At 41.2% G+C, this 18,387-nt stretch overlaps 4 annotated features.

Moving 5' to 3' along the window:
• Positions 1–1,357: part of a biological region, named in NCBI's record as "APOB 5' regulatory region", that runs on past the window's edge. NCBI's record gives its function as "regulatory_interactions: APOB | APOB-ICR".
• Positions 331–1,357: an insulator, noted in NCBI's record as "5' MAR (-5262 to -4235)". NCBI's record gives its function as "may contribute to locus-independent transgene expression in cell culture (PMID:7799927) but did not function as an insulator in whole animal transgenic models (e.g. PMID:9528807)" and the evidence as "EXISTENCE:reporter gene assay evidence [ECO:0000049][PMID:7799927]" and "EXISTENCE:transgenic organism evidence [ECO:0001131][PMID:9528807]".
• Positions 454–1,357: a matrix attachment site, noted in NCBI's record as "5' distal MAR; XbaI/SphI fragment". NCBI's record gives its function as "associates with the nuclear matrix" and the evidence as "EXISTENCE:fractionation evidence [ECO:0000100][PMID:2592370]".
• Positions 8,393–8,687: a silencer, noted in NCBI's record as "tiled region #5245; K562 Repressive DNase matched - State 9:DNaseU". NCBI's record gives its function as "represses a minimal TATA promoter and a strong SV40 promoter by Sharpr-MPRA in K562 cells {active_cell/tissue: K562}" and the evidence as "EXISTENCE:reporter gene assay evidence [ECO:0000049][PMID:27701403]".

An 18,387-nucleotide genomic window follows, 5' to 3' on the forward strand; every position in this document is an offset into this window, starting at 1 on the left:
TATGGTCCATGTGAATAGGTTTCTTTCATATGCACACTTCATTTTTACTCTTGAGTGTTGCTGCTTATGTTTACATCTTCATTTAGAATGCACAGTGAACTTGGAGCTGTAGGAGAGAGGAAGGGTCTGGGAACTGGGGCCATGGGACAGTTTCTACGGCTCTGGGTGGCAGTCCCTCATCTGTGTGATGAGAAGACAGGAATGGACGGTCTCTTAGCCCCATTCAGCTCTGACTACTTTGATTCTATGGAAATTTTGGGGCTGAAAAAACAAACACATAAATTATTTTGGGCTCAAACCTCATGGCTATTAGGAGCTGTGGCTGAGGATCCAGAACCATCAAGCAGGAAGGATTTTATGGGAGGCCATCGACCTCTCCAAAGACCTGTGCCCACACTGCCCAAGAAATAGAACCCTTCACTCATTTTACACAGATTTCTAAATCAGATGTGGGCATGCCCTCCTGAGGATGCTGGGGCACAGGGAATTGCAACTCTCCGGAAGTTCTTCCCCACGTCTAGCTTTAGGTTTCATATTTGCCTGACCTTGGGTAAACTTTCTTAGATATAACTTAGCATTTCTTTTGAAAGGCTTTTGGTCAGCTTTTGTCAGCCACTTTTTACTACTTTTAAAAAAAGTTTTCTTTATGTTCTCTCAAGACTAAGGCTCAGAACGTGTTACCTCAGAAAGCTGAGACCAGTGCTGGTGCCGGATAGCTGGATGGATAAACACACCTCACTATTCCCACACCAGCACTACTTCTCTTCATGTATTATGGAGCACCTCCGAGAGCTTCCAGACCAGGAGAAGGGCATAATCAGACGTCACAGCCAATAATGAGCGTACGCAATGTGCCCAGTGTGGGGTCTACACCACAGTTAGACTATAGTGGTACGATGGGGGTCTCGGGGGTCCTGGATGGGTGAGATTGAACTGGCTCTGGAATGGTGGGCAGGATTTGGGTAACTGAAGAGGGAGGCACACTGAAAGTGCAGTGGCAGGAAGCTGGGAACATGTTGGATATGTCTGGCCCCTGTGATGACGCCAGGCTACTGGAGTCTCTGGGGAGAAGGGAGACAGGGGGATGGTCAGTGGGGGATACAGTTTGCCATGCCCAGGCCAGGGACAGAGCTTTCAGGCTAATGAAGCCTTTGACTTAATTTGACACTAAATGTAGTACATATGGCACTGAAACTCTGGATTGTGTAGAAGGCCATGAGAATTGGGCTGAATTCTCCTTGTTCAGAGCTATGAAGGGAAATGTAGCAACAGGTATCTGTAGTCTCAAACATAGACAGGATCTTAGAAACCAAATCGTGACTAATATTCTCATCTTATAGAGAAACTGGGGTCTAGACAGGCTAAGAAGTTTTGTTTTGTTTTGTTTTGTTTTCATGACAAGAGCAGAGGTAAGGCGAGAACTTGGATCTTTAGTTTATAATCTAGGTTATTCATTCTACTCTAATTGCACTAAATCTACATTGGCTACATAAAATTGCTTGGAGATTGCTCTTTGGGCCAGGCATGGTGCCTCGTGCCTGTAATTCCAGCACTTTGGAAGGCCGAGGCGGGTGTGGATAACCTGAGGTCAGGAGTTCAAGACCAGCCTGGCCAACATGGTGAAAACCCATCTCTGCTAAAAATACAAAAATTAGCCAGGCATGGTGGCCTGCACCTGTAATCCCAGCTACTCGGGACATTGAAGCAGGAGAATCGCTTGAACCCAGGAGACGGAGGTTGCAGTGAGCCGAGATTGTGCCATTGCACTCCAGCCTAGGTGACAGAGCCAGACTCCACCTAAAAAAAAAAAAAAAAAAGAAGAATCTTTGAAATCAGTGTATTCTCTTGTGTATTAGTCTGTTTTCACACTGCTGTGAAGAAATACCCGAGACTGGGTAATCTATAAAGGAAAGAGGTTTAATTGATTTACAGTTCCACATGGCTGGGGGAGGCCTCAGGAAACTTGCAATCATGGCATAAGGTTAAGGAGAAGCAAAGACCTGCTTTACATGGCAGCAGGAGAGAGACGAGTGAGGAGCGAAGGGGAAAGAGCCCCTTATAAAACCATCAGATCTCGTGAGAACTCACTCACTGTCACAAGAATAGCATGGGGGAAACCACCCCCATGATCCAATCTCCTCCCACCAGGTCCCTCCCTAAACATGTGGGGATTATGGGGATTACAATTCAAGATGAGATCTGGGAGGGGACACAGCCAAACCATATCATCTTGTAATCTATTCCTTATTGAAAGTGAAAAATTTCATTGATTTTTTTGTGGGTTTGTATTTAGAATAAATATGATTATGTAACTCATTACATAGGATCATAGAGGTTCAGGGCCTAGAAGGGCCATAAGGTTATTGAATCCAACTCTTCTCCATCAATCTGAGAATCCCTGGGCACCCATTAACAGGCTGCCTAACTGGTGGAATTTTATGAAATTAGATCATGTTCTAGGCAGCATGCAGTGAAGAGTTTCTAGAAGGGAAACCTCTCCAGCCTGTCTATCTACAGATGGCCAGATGGAGCCTGCACATGTGGATCAGTGCTTTGTGGTCATATCTCAGGTCTCTGCTATTTCTGTCCCCAATCCGGGGCATAGACTGTCCATCACAGGGAAAGCCAGGAATGGTCAGTACTGAGGTGGAAGTTTTTCTGACACCATCTTTATCTAGATTCTGAAGTAAATACCAAATAACTACCAGAATGGCCTGACACTGTTTTCATCTGTATGTTGTTCCCTCTCTGATAGCATGGAGAGGCCTCAGGCCATTGCCAGAGCCCAGACTGCTTAGGTTACTTGGTCTCCAAAGAAGAAAGTGGGTGGAAATGGGCCATTTAGTATCAGGAATTTCTTGGTTTTCTCTTTTTAGTGGTGCACTTAACTTCTAATAGAGTCATTTAAAAAAAATAATGGCCACCTTTAGGTGTTCTAAGGCCCACCCTGCAGAGGCCACAGATAAGTATATTCACTTATCTGCGAATATGCTAATGGATTCACAACAATCAATTTTAGAATATTTTAATCACCCCCCAAAGAACTCTGGTACCAATCAGCCATCACCCCTTAAGTTCCCTACCTGTCCAGCCCTAGGCAACCACTAAGTTACTTTCTCTCTCTACAGATTTGCCTGTTTTGGACATTTCATATACATGGGGTCAAACAATATGTGGTCTTTTGCAACTGGCATTTTTCACTTCCCATAATATTTTCAAGGTTCATACATGTTGCAGCCTTTTATTCTTTTTTATTACTGACTAATATTCCATTGTATAGATATGCCACATTTTATTTATTCATCAATTGATAGACATTTGTTTTGTTTCTACTTAACAGCTATCAGGAATAATGCTGCTATGAATATCTGCATTCAAGTTTTTATGTACACACATGCTTTCATTTCTCTTAGATGTATATCTAGGAGTGAAATTTCTGGGTAACATGGTAATTCTATGTTTAATCATATGAGGAACTGACAGATTGTTTTCCAAAGTGGCTACACCATTTTACATTCACACCAGCAATATATGAAGGTTCCAATCTCTCCACATCCTTGTCAACACTTGTTATTATCTGTTTTTGTTTTTATTATACCCATCCTAGTGGATGTGAAGTGGTATCTTATTGTGGCTTTTATTGCATTTCTATGATGGCTATTGATGTTGAGCATCTTTTTGTGTTCTTACTGGGAATTTGTATATCTCTTTTGGAGAAATGTCTACTCAAATTCTTTGGATTTTGAATTTTTAAATTGGAGTGCTTGGACTTTTTATTATTAAGTTGTAAGAGTTGTTTTTGCCTTCTGGATTCAGGTTTCTTATCCGACATAGCATTTGCAAATATTTTCTCTTATTCTGTGGGTTGTCTTTCTACTTTTCTTTAAAATGCAAAAGTTTTTAATTTGGATGAATTAATGTTTTTCCTTTGTTGCTTTTCCTTTTGGTGTCATATGCAAGAAACTATTGCCTAAAACATGGTCAAGGAATTTTACTCCTGTGTTTTCTTCTAAGAGGTTTATAGTTTTAGGTCTTATGTCTAAGGCTATGATCCCTTTTGAGTTAATTTTTCATGTATAAAGGAATCCTTTTGCCCCTTGCTGTTAGAAATTTTCAGGTTCTGTGAGCCTGTAAGTGGCCCTGAGTTACCTCTTCTGCCTCCTTGCTAATAGGGCGTGACCTGTTCCCAATGCGGGTGACATCAGCCCTATTGCTCAATGAGCAGAATCAGTCCTTATTAGGGACTGTTCCTCCCTGGGGCTTTTCAAAGAAGTGACCAGAGCTCCAGTCACTGAGAGGACAGGCCCCGAACCCTTGCCTTTTCAGAGAAAAAAATAGAGATATTCTTGGTCTCCGAAGCTGAAATCCCAAGCTTCTTTTAGAGTCTGTAATGTCCTGATAAGCTTTCTTCCCTTTTCATTCAGAAAGAAAGTATTCAGTGGCTAGAGACATAAGGCTTCCTCTGTATCCAAAACAGCTTAACATGTTTTATAAGGAAACATACAAAACTAGCAACAAATACAAGTTTAAAAAAGTGACATCAAGCACCTTGGAATGATTGCTTTTGGTGTGAATGAGAAGAATAAGAGTTGGGAGTGGGGATGCGGAGTAAGGATGGGGAACTAGAAACAAGCCAACAAAATGAGATAGCACCCTTCACAGACCAACAATTACAGTGTGCAGATGTTGAAGATGGTGAATACTTCATCTCTGCTCCTCAGTGGCAGCAGGAAATTGGCCTATCATTGTAAATATATATATTTGTAAACCCTAGTATTTCTCAAGCACCAAAAAACGGACCCATCATTGTGATAGTTAACTTTCATAAATTATCTCATTTTACATTCCAAAAAATCTGCAAAATAGATTTTTTAACCAGCCATCTTACAAATGAGGGAGCCAGGGCTAAGTTTTACATAACTAACCAAATTCTATTGTCTTCATTATATAAGTACAGGTACCTAGAAGAGGCAGTTATGAATATGTAAGATCAAATGACCAACATAAGATTGAGTCTCAGTGACTTTGGTGTAAGCACATGAGTTGCCCTCTATCTGGAGAAATAAGCTACTGTCTTATTAGCAAGATCTGCAGTCACACAACGCTTTATGATTTGTAAAGGGCTTTGGTTTCCATTATTTCTTTTAATCCTGGTAGCTGTGAGTTTTACGTTACACATCACAGGTGAGGCACCTGAACCTCCCTGGGGTTAAAAGACTTTCCAGGATCACCTGGCATATAAATAGCTGAGCTAGAACTCAAACTCAGGTGTTTTGACTTTATATCCCATGCAGCTCATACTACACCGTCCTGAATCTCAATGAGAGGATTAGGAAACCTGAGATTCTTTATGGCATTTGTTAGAGAAATAAGGCAGGAGGGGGTTCTGAGCCTCGGTGGGCTCCCAGGGAGGAGAGGCAACACGAAAATATCACAGCGATTCACTGCCAGAGAAGGAGATGGGAATTAGAGGCATTTCCTAGGGGCTGCCTTTGATAGTATCCAGATTTCTGAAGAAATGCGCTTAGGGAAAAGCATAAACATACGGAAATACCTGTGCTTGCTGCTGTTTGGATGTGTTCTTAATGTAAATGCTGTTTATTACAATTTTTCCCTTCTAAATGTCTTCGTGCATTTTCCCCAAGTAGGTAAACAAGAAGCTGGGCTCAGCCATCTCAGTTGTTTTTTAATACTTATCCTGCACATGTCCAAATTGTGGCTTTACATGGCTGATCCTACCAGATTAACAATCTGGAATGTGAGATCCTGCATCACACTCAGAAAATACCTCTGAAAATGAGTTGGTATGAAATGATGTGTCTGTCGCTCATTTGGAACAGGCCCTGGCACTGGAGTCCCTTGGGGAACACTGGCCAATGGCCTTCTCCACCACTGCTGACCCCTGGGCAAAGCTGGAGGCCAGCTCAGTCATTTAATTTGAACAAATCCAATAGAAAATGGTAAATTGAGGCAATTAATTAAAATCATTCTTTTCCTCTTGACTCTTGCACCTTTTCAGCCTGGACAATTTAGTTGAAAGTGGTGATGGATGCCTGAATTATCCAGATAATTACTTCTTTCTCACTTCATTAATAACATCGCCGTGTCTCCTTGTGAGAAGTCAGATGAGCTATTTGCTCCCTTACTGGTCAGAAAAGTAAGAGCCTTCCTGAAAGGAGGGAGGCGGAAAGGTGGGAGAGTCAGGTGGCACAGGCAGCTTCTGAGCCTGCCTCACTGAGGACCGGCCCCATCCTCAGGGCAGGTCAGCTCTGGTCTTGAGCCTGATTCCCCTCCTGACAACGCTTCCTTCTCACCCCCATCTCTCACTCCCTTTCTCCTCTCTTTCTCTCTCCACAGCTCTCTCTCTCTCTCTCTCTCTCTCTTTCTCTCGCCCCACCACCAAATCTCAGCTGCAATCTCCACCCTCACTAGGAAGGTGGTCTGTCCTATTCTTCCTCCTCTTTCTCACCCTTGCCATCTGTTGTCCCAATACCTCTGAATTCGTTGGTTTTTTGAGTTATTTTATGAACGGGGATGATGGCAGATGTGGAATTCACTACTTTGCTGCCTTAACAAAGTACCACAGACTGGGCGGCATAAACAATAGACATTGATTTCCTCACAGCTCCGGATTCTGGAAGTTCAAGATTAAGGTACTGGCAGAGTTGGTTTCTTTTTTCCCCCTCATTGCTGGATTCGGTTGTTTGTTGTTGTTGTTGTTGTTGTTTTTGTTTTGTTTTGAGACGGTGTCTCACTCACCCAGGCTGGAGTGCAGTGGTGCAATCTCAGCTCACTGCAACCTTTGCCTCCCAGCTTCAAGCAATTCTCCTGCGTCAGCCTCCTGAGTAGCTGGGATTACAGGCAACCGCCATCACACCCAACTAATTTTTGTATTTTTAGTAGAGATGGGGTTTCACCATGTTGGCCACGCTGGTCTCGAACTCCTGAGCTGAGGTGATCCACCCACCTCAGTCTCCCAAAGTGCTGGGATTACAGGCGTGAGCCACCATGCCTGGCCTGGATTCGGGTTTTTAATATTTAAGGTTTTTTGGTATACACATATTCATAAGTTAAACGGGACTATATTTTTTCTATCCTTTTAATTTTACTCTATGTGTTTATAACTCTGATAAGCAGCTTATAGATAAATACTGTTTTAAAATTTAAAATTTTACTTTTTAAATTGACAGAATAATTATGCATATTCATGGAGTACATTTACATGGGATACATATAATGTAATCAGATTAGGGTAATTAGCATATTCATCATCTCAAACATTGATCATTTCCTTGTGTTGGGAACAGTCAATATTCTCCTTCTAGCTATTTGAAGCTATGTAACGTATTATTGTTACCTGTAGTCATCCTAAGGTGCTATAGAACACTTGAACTAAAATCTATCCTGCTGTAATTTTGTATCCTTTAACAAATCTCTCCCTATCCTTCCCGTTCCCCATCATTCCCAGCCTCTAGTATCCTCTGTTCTACTTTTAACTTCTATGAGATTAAAGCTGGTTTCATTTGAGGCCTCTCTCCTTAGCTTATAGATGGCCATCTTCTCCCTGCATCTATACGTGGTCTTCCCTCTGTGCATGTCTGTGTCCTAAGCTCTCCTTATAAGGACAACAGTCATATTAGATTAGGGCTCATCCTAACAACCTCCTCTAATCTCGTTACCTCTCTGAAGATCCTATCTGCAAATATAGTCACATTCTGAGGCATTTGGGGTTAGGGTTTCAACACATGCCTTACTTTGCTCGGGCTGCCTTAACAAAATAGCTTCAACAACAGAAATGTATTTTCTCACAGTTCTGAAGGCTAGAAGGCTGAGATCAGAAGGAGGGCTGTCTCCTTTGCTTTCAGACAGCTGCCTTTTCACTGCATCTTCACATGGAAGGAGGATGAGTGGGGAGAGAGCTCTCTGGCATCTTTTATAAGGGCATTAATTCAATCATGAGGGTCCTACCTTCATAAACTCATCTAAACCTAATCACCTCCCACAGGCCCCATCTCTTCATACCATCACACGGGGGATTAGGGCTTCAATATATGGATTTTGGGGGGCAGAACTGAGCCCCTAATAGCTGAACGGGAACCGCAAACAAAAATAGGTCTACACTTCTGGTATTTCCTGAGAAAGGCTTTTAAAATCTTTGATAAGATTCTGTCAACTGACTAGCTGACCAGGCACAGTAGTCCTAATGGTCTTGAGAGTGCCTCGAATGTGGCCTGCCCAGTGTCTGAGTGCTTCCTGAGATGGGCTTTGGTCATGGTGTGTGCGGCAGTGGAGAAAGGTTGGAGGTTGCCTCTAGGGCACAACACTGGCAGATTTGGTACTGTACTCTGGTGACCACACAACCATGAAATCCTGTGGCATTCATTCCAGGAGTAGGACAAATCCAGAAAACTACTGCCCTAGGACACTCATAAAGCCTTTCAGCAGCAGCAGAATAACCCAGGAAGAAGAACGATAAAGCTTGTTGACTTTTGCTCTTTGGAGGCTATCTTTCTCCTAGCAGAGTAAACGCATCTCTAGGGGATTAAAGGCAGGCTCCAGAGAGCTATCGACTCCCACGCACCTTCAAGCCAGCAATCCTTTTAGCTCAAGAGATAACATAGCCGCTAACCTTGGCCTTCTCAGGAAGGGCAGGTCAGGGCTTTGATGCTGTGAGTGATTTTGTTGGGAAACAAGAGATATAAGGGTGTCCCTTGCAAGAAAGAAACACACTATAAAAAAAACTATAAATTAGAAAAAGATTTATTTACATGAGATATTAGGCTTCTTCAGGAAAGTACTGGAAGAAATATTTTTGGCTATTCATTTATGAGATTTTTAAAGTGACATCATTGACATCAACCAGCCTAAAAAGAAAGACACAATAATAGCATATTTGGGAAAAAATGATATTAAACTAAGACAAAAAAATTATATTGGTGGTCTGAGGAGTGTGATGAACTCAACAGCAGTTTGGCTCCATTATGGTCAGAGCATTTACTGTCTGATTTCAATCTTTTAAATTTGTTGAGGCTTGTTTATGGCACAGAAGATGGTCTGTATTGGTGAACATTCCATGGGCACTTGAGAAAAAGCACGTATTCTGCTGAGTTTGGTGTAGTTTTCTACAAATGGCAATTAGATCTTGTTGGTTGAGGGTGTTGTTGAGTTCCTTTACATCCTTGCTGATTTTGTCTGCTGGTTCCATTAATTGCTGAGAATAGGGTATTGACGTCAGCACCTATAAATGAAGCTGGGGCTCAAAAGCCAAAACCAAACACACTGTGGCCTCCAGCTCTCAATCAATCAATAAATCAGTGACAAAGCATGTATTGGTTAATTTCAGCATCCTTGGCCGTATCCTGGATGGTGAAGGAAAGAGGAGATATGGGCTTAGTTAAGAAAACTTGGTATTTACATCATGTATGAAATAGATATGTATAGGTTCATGCTGATGTGCTGAAACATTTGTAACTTCCCTTTCTAAAGATTTTTTTTTTTTTGAGATGGAGTTTCACTCTTGTTGCCCAGGCTGGAATGCAATGGTGCAATCTTGGCTCACTGCAACCTCTGCCTCCCGGGTTCAAGCGATTCTCCTGCCTCAGCCTTCCGAGTAGCTGGGGTTCCACCACACCTGGCTAATTTTTGTATTTTTAGTAGAGATTGGGTTTCTCCATGTTGATCAGACTGGTCTCAATCTCCTGAGCTCAGGCAATCCACCTGTCTTCGCCTCCCAAAGTGTTGGGATTACAGGCGTGAGCCACCACGCTTGGCCTTTAAAGATTTTTATGTGTTCAGTCAATTCATCCTGTTAGCCAGACTTGGTTCTAGGTAACCATATAGAGCAATAAGAAGAAAGGCAGGCCTTCCACATGCTGGGTGATCTATGGAGCAGCTTACTCTTGTTATAGAACAAGTGGATCCTACACAGACCCAGAAGATACCCACCATTTATGCAGGGCTAGGTACTGATGCTTCCTTTGTTCATGCATCTCTTCTTTTTAAGGATGTGGACTACCAGCGTGGCTAGGAACTCAAGCTCTGAAGCCAGGGGCCTTTTCAGTTCTGCCACTCACTAGCTGTGTCATTTGGGGCATGGTATTTAATTCCTTGGGCTTCTGTTTCCCTATCTGTAAAAAGGAGATCACAATAAATGATACCTACCTGACAGGGTTTTGTATTTATTAAATAAGTTAATACAGATAAGGCACTTGGCACAGTGCTGGTACTTGGTTAATAGTCCATAAGTATTAGTTATTATCATTTGTCTACCAATATATCCTTTCACGTTCAGTTCCCTTTCTTCTATGGGTATGGGTCATTCCAGTGTGCAAACATAACATCCACTTCAGACTCTTCCCCAAGGATACCAAGATGAGTACAAAATGTTTTTCTTTTAGTTTACTTCTAGCAAGACCTATATAAATAGTCAAACTATAAGACCAAATATCACCTTAAGAGAGATAAAGTGGCTGCTGGAGTCATGGGTGGTGGCCAAGTAAGATGAACTGTTTTTACAAAAGACCCCAAACCTCTGAGAGATTTTGCAAATCATTCCTTTGGATGCTTGCAGAATGGTCAATGGACATTTTTGTGCTATTTGTGTTTTACTAAAGATGTCCATGTTATATCTTTTTTTACTAGGTGGAATTTCACATTTTTAGTGGAAATGCCAACTTCTTATTTTATACAAAATTTGCTTTTACTTCTTATTTTGTATCTTTATATCTTCAATGCAGTTTCTGCAGAAACTTTGAAGCTTTCAAATTATTTTTTCAGGTAGGCTATCCTTTCATCTCTTTAACATCTATGTAAAACAAGTAATAATCTTCTCAGTTAATTTATAAAAAATCATCCAAAGCATAACTATGGGATAGCATTTGCAATCCAATCAAAAAAATCCATGCTTTGGCTGAAAGTTGAGTTGCCTTTGAACTTCCTGAATGGTGTAGGGGATGAGCAGGGCTGCCCCGGCCACCAGTATCCAGGACCCCAGCCCCCAGTCAGGGATGGAAAGTAAACCCTCACAATAAAGTCTGTTAGAGAGTTTCTTATGTTAAGGAATTCAGAGCTGGAATTCATCATTTTGTGATTTTTTTATGGTAGGGAAATACTTTCAACGTTTTAGTTTCATTGAAGATGAATACTACATGACAAAATGCCCCTCCCATTCACTAATCCAATCAGTTGTTCCAAACCTTCTCAAGGCTGTGACTCTCCCAGATCTAGCTGTGGCACCCTCACAAGGGAGAAAGGACTTTCAGCCCTTGGGGAAGTCTCTTAGTGTCCTATAATCTTCTTTACCTCATCCCCCAAGTATAGGGGTTTAATTAAGTAGGCCAAGATTCTTTAATTTTTATTCTCCCTCCTCTCACCCTCTGAATTCTACATTAATTATTTTCTGACCATCACAACTCTTTTAAAACCATACTATCATACCATTCAAAAGATGTCCATTACAGGGTCTGATTTCAACTTATACACACGTTCTCAATATATATTTATGGACTGTCAAGGTTTTTGTATGCCAGGTTAAGGATTCTAGATTCCCCATAAAAAGGAAGATTCAGTGAGGAATTTTATATATGGAGAGATGAATCCTGCAGAAACAAAAACACTTAGATGTAGGACAGGGAAAACAGGAACACAGAAAAGAGAGTCCCAAGAAGTAAGAAAAGATACAGAAGAGAGTGGTGGTGCCCATCTTGCCTGCCCCAACCCTCTCTAGGTGGAGATGGCCATTGAAGGCTCAAGTCTAGGCTCTGCCCACCTGGGCTCTGAGCCCATGAGACCAAGGCCCACAGGATCTGCCCATGAGACACCTCTTCCTCACTAATCAGTCAAGCCAGTAGCGGGTCTTCCTGTCCTAAACCTGGTTCCACTGTGCACAGAGAGCCCCTGAGTCCCATGTCCTAAAACATGTGAAGGTTGATTAGACAAATTGGGTCATTCTTGTCATACTGAACCAAATAAGACTCCAGGGGCCAAGGGGAAAAAGCACTTGGGGCACAAAGCACCTGCTCCAAGAATTAAATTTTCTCCAAGCCCGGCTGCTAAAACAGCCTGGTGTAACCCTAAGACCAGTTTTGCCTAGTAGCTGCTAAAACAACCTGCCTCTAAGACTAATTTTACCTACCACTGTCACTCACCAGTCAGAGCTTGCCAGCTCCCAAAAGCTTCTTTAGTGCCAAAGAGTTTTCTTTCAAAACAGTATGTGATATTTCTCTTTCTGATAAAACTCCCAATCCTCTTTTTGTTCTTCAGACCTAGGGAAGACCAGGGAGTCTGCGTGTTTGCCTTGAATTGGAATTCTTGCTTCCCAAATAAAAGGTTTTAAATTTGGAGATTTGTCTCTGTATATTATTTGACTTCAGCAGCTGCAGTCTCTGTGAAAGCAGTGGTGCAGCACAATGGTTCAGAACTGTGGCATCTGAAACTAGCTGGCCTGGGCTTGAGCCCTACTTAGGCACTTATTAGTCATGTGATTTTGAGCAAGTCACTTGACTTTCTTATGCATTAGTTTCCTCACTCTAAAGATGGGAATAAGCGCAGCCCTGCCTTATAAAGTTACTCTTGTGATAATAATTAAATGAATTAACATGGCTTAACAGCATCTGGCAAAAGTAGGTAAGGACTTATACAAACATTAGCTGTGTACATTGTTGTTATTGTTACATTGTAACGTGTGCACAAATCATGGTTTGCAGGACATCTCCACTTACTGGAGCTCCCATGGCTGATGCGCTGCCAAACCCTTGCTAGCTCCTCTTCTGTTGCCCTCTGCTTCAAGCAGGGTGGACTTTCTCTGGAAGTAAAATGCCAGCACCTGTCTATTAGTTTGAACCATATATGACATTGCCATTTTTTGTAGGTCACAAATTATTGAACATTGACAATTTTCTATGGTTTAATCTAAAATAAGTAATGCTCTTGGCATAAACCTGCAAACAAACAACTGCACTTCACACTCTGAATTATGACCTTGACCTCCGTTTTGAGAACCAGCTTTAGTGTCAATTCTTTGAGTCCTAGACTTGCCCATTTTGGGCTTGCTACCTCCTCTGTTAACCCTAGGGCTGAGGAATGATAATAATGATGATAATAATAGGGGATCCTCTATAGCTAAAGGGTATATATGATAGTTGCAAGGGGAACAGAAATCACTCTAACTTAGAATAGTGTGGCTGGTATATTTACCCTCAGATTAGAGTAGTTATAACATAAGGCATAGATGGCCAGATGGTATCCTTTCACCCCATCTGCCTCATAAGGATCCCTAACTTCAAAAGTCTAATGTTAATTAGTAAGTGATAGTTGTCAACTTCTAGTTTAACCTTAGAATATTTATATATCATGGGACAACTTCCTAGGCACACAGTACTGTCACAAAAAGCTGTTATTTCCATACCAACAGAAACGTGGGCGAAGCATATAAACAGACAGTTCCCGGTAAGGGACAGAATTCTTAAATTAGGTGCAGTGGCTCATGCTTATAAACCCAACACCTTGGGAGGCCAAGGCAGGAAGAGTGCTTGAGCCCAGGATTTCAAGACCAACCTGGGTGATAAAAAGTTACAAAAAAAAAAGGGTTTGTTTTGTTTCGTTTTTTTAAAAAAACTGGGCATCGTGGCATGCACCTGTGAGTCCCAGCTCCTGGGGAGACTGAGGGGCTTGAGCCGGGGATGTTGAGGCTGCAATGAGTCATAATCATGCCACTGTACTCCAGCCTGGGTGATAGAACAAGACCCTGCCTCAAAAACAAACAAACAAACAAACGAACAAAAAATCCAGCCATAATTACACTGAGTTACACATGATAAACTTCCTACGAGTTGGAGAGTGATACATCCCTCCAGTGAGATGTGAGGGAAGAGGGGACTGATACTCCTATTGACTCACTTCTCTGGACCCACTTCCTATTGTTTCTCCAGACTTAGTTTCAGGTTTGAAGATAAAGCTTCTTTAAGAGGTCAGTTAGAAAATGCAAGATCATCTTGTGTTTATGTGCCATATGCTCTTTTCATGACTCTCATTCGTCTCATCTCATCTCATCTCATCTCATCTCATCTCATCTCATCTCATCTCTTCTCTTCTCTTCTCTTCTCTTCTCTTCTCTTCTCTTCTCTTCTCTTCTCTTCTCTTCTCATCCCATCCCATCCCATCCCATCCCATCCCATGCCATCCCATCCCATCCCATCCCATCTCATCTCATCTCATCTCATTGGTCCTGTCCTGAGTCCTGTTGAGTCCTCGGTGCTGTGCTAGCCACACAGGAAAGACATACATGACACTATCCTTGCCCTCCAAAAAAGTCAGAAAGGCAAACAGTAAGTAGAAGAAAATGTTAGAATCCTGATGCATCTTCTTTGCTCCTGATTCAGGATTCAGGAGCTTATTTTCCCCCAGTATTTGGGTAAACAGCCAAACAATTGAATCTCACATTCTAGGGTGGAGTGGAGAGACATCACCTTGCCATAATACATCGGCTTTCCTGGGAGTAAAGTCAAGTTGGAATGCTGTCTGTCAGCGGCAGTTCCACTGGATATATCAAACCCTGCATCTCTCCTCTCCTTTTTTTTTTTTTTTTTTGTGGTGAGGATGATGGAGTAAATATCTCCTTGGTACTCTGAGAGCCTGCAGAGAGAGGTGTTTGCATGAGGAGGCAGGAACCTATTCTATTTGGATTGAGAACTTTTTGCAGTCACAAGTGATGAGTGACAGCAAAAAAAAGTTATGAATTATAGTTTATTATTTCCATTACTCTTCCCACCTCTCCCTGGGCTGGGAACTTCTTTCCTGGGCAGAGACAGATACCTTTTACCTGTCTGGCTCTGCTTGTGGTGTTTTAAGAGGGCAGCAAGTTGGCCTCCAAGGGTTTCTTTCCATCCTGTGATTTGTATATTCCTGGATTTGCTGACGTGTTTCAGACAACAGACTAATTGCTCTGCCTGTGTTGTTCTCCCTCCTGCTTTTGAAGGATCTTATTTCACGTGTTGTGCCCTCTCTCTCCTATTTCCAGATTCTGCTTGTTGGCAACATGGTCATTCCAAGCATTGGAATTAGGCTTGGGTGTACATTCTGTTTCAGGTCTCAGTGATTGGGGTGGCAATAGGCGCAAATTGTTTAATTTCTTAGAATCCGTTTTCTCATCTTTAAAAGGTCAATAAGAACCATCTTGTTACTGCACAGATTTTGAAACCAGATCTTTGGTTCCATTTTGGCTGTTTTTGGTTCCATTTTGCTGTTACTTGGCTGTAAGCCCTTGAGATCAGCTTTACTTCTCTGCTCCTCAGTTTTCTCACCTGCAAAGTGGGGGTGATGATACCACTAACTTCATAAGGCTTGTGAGGATTAAGTGAAGAAATAAATGTAAAGTGCTTATAACAATGTCTGTCATACATTAAGTACCCAATAGATATTAAATATCATTATTATCTGTCAGTGTCATTCTGAGGATTAACTAGGAAAACATGCATAAAGTGATTAGAACAGTGCATATAAAGCATGCTATGTTGTTTCCGTATGAATCTTGTCAAATCCCTACTACCTTAAAAATATTTTTTTCATCCTGAATCACTAGCTACTCCTCTCTTTATTCCTCCTGAATTTTCCCACAATGTACTTCTCCAAAATGTAGATCACACACGTTGTCTCCATTTTTCTCACTTCCATTCACTTCTCAGCTCAATGCAATCCAGTATAGGCCCTCTCCATCACTCAAAAACGTGGAAACTGTCCTATTAATGTTGCCAGAGCTCATTGAACAAACCCAGGGGCAGCATCTGAATCTTTATCCTGCTTGACCTGCCTACAGCTTTTGACACTGATGTGCATTGCATACTTCTCGAAGCCCTTCTCTCCACTGGGTTTCATGTCATCACTTTCTGCTAGTCCTCCTGCCGTCTTGCATGCAGGACCTTTGCAGCTTGCTTTACAACTGTTGCTCTCCCTCTTCTTTAAACATCAGTCTTCTCCCGGGCTCTGTCCTTGTTACTCTTTATTTCACCTATTCTGTGGCTTCAACTTCTACCTCTATGCTGAGAGCTCCACATTTATAGCTTCAGCTCAGTTTCCTTCTCTGAGCTCCTCACCTAACAAATATAATGGACAAACCCAACCAATTTGATGTCTTGGAGGCATCTTAAACACAAAGTGTTTAAAACTGAATACATCATCTCACCTACCCTTGACTCTTAATAAGTCTCTTCCCTGTGTTCCTTCCTTGTATTAGTAAATGGTACTGCTGTCCTTCATATGTCCAAGCCGGAAACCTAAGAGTCATCATAGTCTTTTCCCCTTTTTTTTTTTTTTACTACTGCATCCCATCAATCATTAAGGCTAAGAAGTATGCTTTTTAAATATCTCCTCCAACCCTTCTCTACTGCCTCAGATGTGAACATGGCTCTCCTGTGTTATTATAATAGTCTCCTTGCGCTCCAGTTGCAGCTACACAAATCATTGTGTGGTCCCCTGAATATTTCACGCTCGCTCACGGCTCTGAGTCCAGGATGATGCCTATGTCTGCCTGGAATGGTTCCTTCCCATTAGTTTGAAAAACAGAATTAAAATCTTCTCTAGCCTTCCCTGATGTCCCTGGCACATTTAGTTGCTGCTCCGAATGCTACCCATGGGCTTTGAATGTATTTCCAGTGTGGTAATATCTAATTTTACTATAACTGTTCACTTGGCCGTCCATCTATCCGTTACTATGAACATCTTAAAACTGAAGGCAACGCCTTTTCATTTTTGTCATCTTAGTGCCAGGCACACCAAAACCTTTCCACCTGGATGCCCCACAAACATCTCAAATATGACATGCTTGCTGAATGACTGAATGAATGAATTTGTTGAACAAATCTTTTCTATCTTCTGTGTCTTGAGTGTGGGACACAACTATCTTCCTCACTTTCGGTGACAAATATTTCATCACCTCTTGGTTGACAGAGATGTTAACTAACACTAAAACATGTCAGTTCTCATTGGCCATTTATAACTTGTCTTTTTCTCAAGCCCCAGCTACCTATAAGAAGTGATAAATGAAACTTATCCAAGGTAAGTCTGTTGTTCCATAGAAAGAGCATCCTTTGAATTAAAGCACAGCATTGATAGGAGTGCTTCCTGGGTGCACAGTTGGATTTGAACAGGATGTTGATATTTCAGAGTATAGTTTTTACCTGGCATGTATTTTAAAGGATTAATAAAAACAAGTTGGAGAATTATTTGCAGGTCACTTTTTTAAAGTTCTGTATACAAACACAAATACACACACACATATTTCATTTGCAAATCTAAAAACATTTACTGAGCTACAGTACAACCCATCAATCCTACTTCTGGGTATTCATCCAGAAGAACTAAAATCAGGATCTCAAGGAGATATCTGCATTTCTGTGTTCATTGCAGCATTTTCCCCAATACCCAAGATGTAGAAACAGCCTAAATGTTCATTGTCTTGACAGATGAATGCAGGTAAAGAAAATGTGATGTATGCAAACCATGGAATACTATTCAGCTTTAAAAAAAGAACATTTTACAATAGGTGACAACATGGATGAACTTTGAGGACATTAAAACAAGACATGGAAAGATAAATCCAACATGATTCTACTTTTAATGAGGGATATAAAATAGTCAAATTCATAGATTCAGGGTAGGGATGGTGGTTGCCAGGGGCTTGGGGAAAGGAAAAATGGGGAGTTATTAATCAACAGGCACAAAGTCTCAGTAAGGCAAGATGAATCATCTCTAGATATATGCTGTACAACATCATGCCTATCATCAGCAATAATGCATTACACACTTACAATTTGTAAGAAAATAGATTTCATGTTAAGTGTTCTTGCTACAATAAAGTAAAACAAAATACTTACTAAATAACAAAGGAAAAAATTTCACATCTTAGTGCAGTAGATGGTTTTTAGCAATTTCTACTATCTGTTGGGTCACACTTAACATAGAGAATGCTTTTGCATTGTGTCTTGTGAAATTTGTTCTAGCTCTACACTTTATAAAACTTTGTTATACTCTGAGAAAAGGCAGAGAGTCCACTTTTTAATTCTTTTTTATGACTCAGTAATGAGATACAATTTTTATTTTAACGAAATTCTTTGCGATTTAGAAAAATGAAGTAGTTTCAAATTGGAAATCTAAACTCTCTGGTACATGGACCACCAGCTCACTTCTTAAGCAAAAGAACCAATCAGTTAATAACAATGAAACATAAAGCTATGAAGGGTAGAATATATTTATCATTTCTCAGCTATGTGAAAAATGCCACCATGCCAGCTTTCATCATCTTTCCCCTTATCATCTAAATGTATATTTGAAATACAGCATCATAAACTAAATGGATGTTTTTAAGTTGTCATGTTAGACTTTCGCTGGTCATAA

This window comes from Homo sapiens, chromosome 2, assembly GCF_000001405.40.
Source record: "Homo sapiens chromosome 2, GRCh38.p14 Primary Assembly".
NCBI classification, from domain to species: Eukaryota; Metazoa; Chordata; class Mammalia; order Primates; family Hominidae; genus Homo; species Homo sapiens.